Source organism: Homo sapiens, chromosome 4, assembly GCF_000001405.40.
Source record: "Homo sapiens chromosome 4, GRCh38.p14 Primary Assembly".
Taxonomy (NCBI): Eukaryota; Metazoa; Chordata; class Mammalia; order Primates; family Hominidae; genus Homo; species Homo sapiens.
This window is the reverse complement of record NC_000004.12, coordinates 163,312,515-163,317,607: the sequence shown is the minus strand read 5'-3', so window position 1 is coordinate 163,317,607 and position 5,093 is coordinate 163,312,515. Positions and strand designations below refer to the sequence as shown.

Here is a 5,093-nt window from a genome sequence, read left to right as displayed (position 1 = left end):
GCACAAGAAATTTCTAAGTAGCAAAGTATTTAAGATGTGGCCTGGCTGCTTCTAACAGCCTAAGCTCATATGCATGAGCAAAGAAATGACATGAAACTGGAACTTATATTTAAAGGGGAAGCAGAGTCTAAAAGTTTGGAAAATTTGCAGCTTAGTCATCTGGTAGAAAAGGAAAGCCCATTTTCAGAAGAGGAATTCAAGCAAGCTGCATAAATTTGCATAACTAAAAGGAAGGCAAGTGCTAATATGCAAGACAATAGGGAAAAGGCCTCTAAGACATTTCAGAGAGCTTCACAGTAGCCCCTCCCATCATAGACCCAGAGTCTTAGGAAGACAATGGTTTTGTGGGCCAGAGCCAGGACCCCACTGCCCTGCGCCAACTCTAGACACTGCTTTCTGCATTCCAGCTGCTCCAGCTCCAGCTGTGGCTCAAAGGGGCCCATGTATAGCTTGGACCACTTCTTCAGAAGATGTAAGCCATAAGTCTTGGCTGCTTTCATGTGGCATTAAGCCTGCAGGTGCGCAAAATGTAAGAAGAGTTGAGGCTTGGAAGCCTCTACCTAGATTTGAGAGGATGGATGGAAATGCCTGGATGTCCAAGCAGAAGCCTGCTGCAGGGGCAGAGCCCTCATGGAGAACCTCTATTAGTGCAGTCCAGAGGGGAAATGTGGGGTTGGAGCCCCTACACAGAGTCCCCACTGGGGCACTGCCTAGTGGACCTGTGAGAAAGAGGCCACTATTCTCCAGATCCCAGAATGGTAGATCCCCCAGCAGCTTGCACCCTGTGCCTGGAAAAACTGCAGACACTCAACATCAGTCTTTGAGAGCAGCCACTGGGACTGGATCCTGCAAAGACACAGGGGCAGAGCTGCCCAAGGCCTTGGGAGCCCCCTCTTTGCATCAATATGCCCTAGATGTGAGACATAGAGTCAAAAGGGATTATTTTGGAGCTTTAATATTTAATAAATGTTCTGCTGGGTTTTGGACTTGCTGGGGGCCTATAGCCCCTTTCTTTTGGCTAATTTCTCCCTTTTGGAATGGCAATGTATACCCAATGCCTATAACCCCATCATATGTTGGATGTAGCTAACTTGTTTTTGATTTTACAGGCTCATAGGTGGAAGGAACTAACCTTGCCTTAGATGAGACTTTGGACTTTGGACTTTTGAGTTAATGCTAGAATAAGTCAAGACTTTGAGGGACTGTTGGGAAGGCATGACTGTATTTTGCAATGTGAGAAGGACATGAGATTTTGGAGGTGCTAGGGGTGGAATCACATGGTTTTAATCTGTGTCTCCACTCAAATCTCATTTTGAATTGTAATCCACAGTGTTGGAGGTGGGGCCTGGGAGGAGATGATTGGATCATGTGGGTGCCGTTCTCATTAATGGTTTAGCACCACCCTCTTGGTGCTCTTCTTGTGATAGTGAATGAGTTATTAGAAGATCTGGTTGTTTAAAAGTGTGGAGCACTTTTCCCCCACAAGTCCTGCTCTTGCCATGTAAGAAGTGCATCACTCCCCTTTTGCCTCCTGCCATGTGTAAAAGCCTCCTGAGGCTTCCCCAGAGGCAGAAGCCATTATGCTTCCTGTACAATGTGCAAAACTGTGACCCAATTAAACCTCTTTTCTTTATAAATTACCTAGTCTTGGATATTTCTTTATAGCAATGCAGGAATGGACTAATACAAGTGATATAGTGTTTCTGAAAGTGGGCTTAGATTAGTTGTAAATGTGTATTACAAACTCTAGAAAAAATATTATAATAGTAAAAAAAAACTACAATACTAAAAACAGTTTTAAAAACCCACTAAAAAAATTAAAACATCATAACTGACATACTGAGAAAGGATAAAATGGTATTATGCGAAATGAATAATTAAAACCACGAAGGCAAATAAAAGTGGAAAAAATTGGAACAAAGAATAAGGGCAACAAGCTGAAAATGGTAGCAATTATGACAAATATTAATCCAACAATATCAAGAATGACTTTGAACATCAATGATCTAAATGCACCAGTTAAAATATGGAGATTGTTAGAGTGGGCAAAAAACAAGATCCAACTATTTGTTGTCTACAAGAAACCATTTTAAATATAAAGATGCATAGATGAAAAGTACATGGATAGAGAATGATATACAATGCTAATACTAATCAAAGTAAAGCAGGAGTAGCTATGATAATTTCAGACAGAACAGAATTCAAAGGAAGGAAAGTTATCAGACATAAAATGGGCCATTATATAATGATAAATGTCGGTTCTCCAAGAAGACATAAAAACATTAACATTTAAATGACTAACAAAAGAGTAGCATAATATGTGAGGTAAAAACTGATTTAACTACAAGGAGAAATAGATGAATCCACTATTATAGTTGAAGATTTCAACATCCCTTGATTAGAAATGGACAGATACAGCAGGCAAAAATTCAGTAAGGGCATAGTTGAACTCAACAATACCATCAATCAACTGGGTATAATTGAATATCAATTAATGTAATTTATCACATCAACAGGCTAAAAAAATCACATGATCATGTTAACGGATGCAGAAAAAACATTTGAAAAAAATCTACCATCCATTTATAATAAAAACTCTCAGCAAAGCCAACTAATAGAGGAATAGAAAACCAAATACCACATGTTCTCACTTACAAGTGGAAGCTAAACATTGAATACACATAGACACAAAGATGGGAACAACAGACACTGGGAACTACTTGATGGGGGAGGGTGGGAAGGAGGCATGAGTTGGAAGGCTACTTATGCTACATTCGCTACCTAGGTGATGGGATCATTCATACATCAAGCATCAGTGACATGAAATTTACCCATGTAACAAACCTGCACATGTACTCCCTGAACCTAAAATAAAAGTTAAAAATGCGAAGAGGGAATGAGAAGAGAAGCCACAGACCTAGGAGAAAATATTTTCAAAAGACATATCTGGTTCTAGATCCTTGAGGAATTGCCATACTGTCTTCTATAATGGTTGAACTAATTTACATTCCCACCAACAGAGTAAAAGTGTTTCTATTTCTCTACAGTCTCACCAGGATCTGTTGATTCTTGACTTTTTAATAATTGCCATTCTGATTGGCATGAGGTGGTATCTCATTGTGGTTTTGATTTGCATTTCTCTAATGATCAGTGATGCTGAGCTTTTTTTCATATGTTTGTTGGCTGCATAAATGTCTTCTTTTGAGAAGTTCCTGTTCATGTTCTTTGCCCACTTTGAAATACCATTTGACCCAGCAATCCCATTACTGGGTATATACCCAAAGGAATGTAAATCATTCTATTATAAAGATACATGCACATGTATGTTTATTGCAACACTATTCACAATAGCATAGACATGGAATCAACGCAAATGCCCATCAATCATAGCCTGAATAAAGAAAATGTGGTACACACATACCATGGAATACTATATAGCCATAAAGAGGAATGAGATCATGTCCTTTGCAGGGACATGGATGGAGCTGGAAGCCATTATCCTCAGCAAACTAACACAGGAACAAAAATCCAAACACTGTATCTTCTCACTCATAAGTGGGAGCTGAACAATGAGAACACATGGACACAGGGAGGGGAACAACACACACTAGGGCCTGCTGGCAGGGGGTCAGGGGAGGAAGAGAATCAGGATAAATGGCTAATACATGTTGGGCTTAATACCTAGGTGATGGGTTGACAGGTGCAGCAAACCACCATGGCACATGTTCACCTATGTAACAAACCCGCACATTCTGCACGTGGATTCCAGGACTTAAAATAAATTTTTTAAAAAAGACATATCTGATAAGAGGCTGTAATCAAAAATATATAAAGAAATTTGAAAACTCAACAACAAGAAAAGTAATAACACAATGTAAAATGTATAAAATACTTGAACAGATGTTTCACCAAAAAAGTTGCACAGAAGTTAAATAAGCATATGAAAAGTTGCTCAATATCATATGTCATTAGAGAATTGAAAGTTAAAATAACAAAGAGATACTACCACATATCATTAGAATGGCCAAAAGACTAACAACACCAAATGCTGGCAAGGATGGGGGGCAAAAGGAACTCTCATTCATTTCTAGTGGGAATTCACAAGGGTACAATCACATTGGAAGATAGTTTGGAAATTCTTATAATACTGAACATACTCTTACCATATGATCCAAAAATCACACTCCTTGGTATTTACCCAAATGAGTTAAAAACTTATGTCTACACAAAGCTTGCACATGGATGTTTATAGCAGCTTTAGTCCTACTTGCCAAAACTTGGAAGCAACCATGATGTTCTTCAGAAGGTGAATGGATAAACAGTGATATATCTATGTCAATAGATATATTATTTAGTGCTATATTATTTAGTGCTATATTATTTAGTGATATAGATATAGTGATATCTATATCAATAGAATATTATTTAGTGCTAAAAAGAAATGAACTATCAAACCATTAAAAGATGTGAAGAAACCTTAAATGCATTTTACTAAATGAAAGAAGCCAATGTGAAAAAGCTTTATACTGTATGATTCCAACTATATGACATTGTGAAGAAAGCAAAATAATGGCAACTGGAAAGAATTCAGTGTTTTCCAGTGGCAAAGGGAATGAGGGACAAATAGACAGAGTGCAGAGTATTTTTAGGGCAGTGAAACTACTCTGTAAGATACTATGATGGTGGATACATGTCATTATACATTTGTCAAGACTCATAGAATGTACAACACCAAGAGTGAACTGTGATGTATACTATGGACTTTGGGTGATAATGATATGTTAATGTAGTTTCACCAATTGTAACAAATGTTCCACTCTGGTGTGGGATTTTCATAGTGGTAGACCTGTGTGTATGGGGGTGGCAAGGGGTAAATGGGAAATTTCTGTACTTTGCACTTCATTTTGCTGTGAACCTAAACCTGCACTAAAAAATAGTCTAGGCCAGGTGTGGTGGCTCATGCCTGTACTCCCAGCACTTTGGGAGGTTGGGACAGGAGGATAGCTTGAAGCCAGGAGTTCAGAACAGCCAGGGCAATACAGTGAGATCCTGTTTCTACAAAAAATAAAAAAATCAAAAACAGTAAAATAAGT

The 5,093-nt window shown here is 38.5% G+C and overlaps 1 annotated feature.

The window, feature by feature from the left end:
* Nucleotides 1–585: an enhancer, noted in NCBI's record as "NANOG-H3K27ac hESC enhancer chr4:164238175-164238759 (GRCh37/hg19 assembly coordinates)". NCBI's record gives its function as "activates a minimal SCP1, AML or CMV promoter by ChIP-STARR-seq in naive and primed H9 embryonic stem cells {active_cell/tissue: H9 hESC(naive and primed)}" and the evidence as "EXISTENCE:reporter gene assay evidence [ECO:0000049][PMID:30033119]".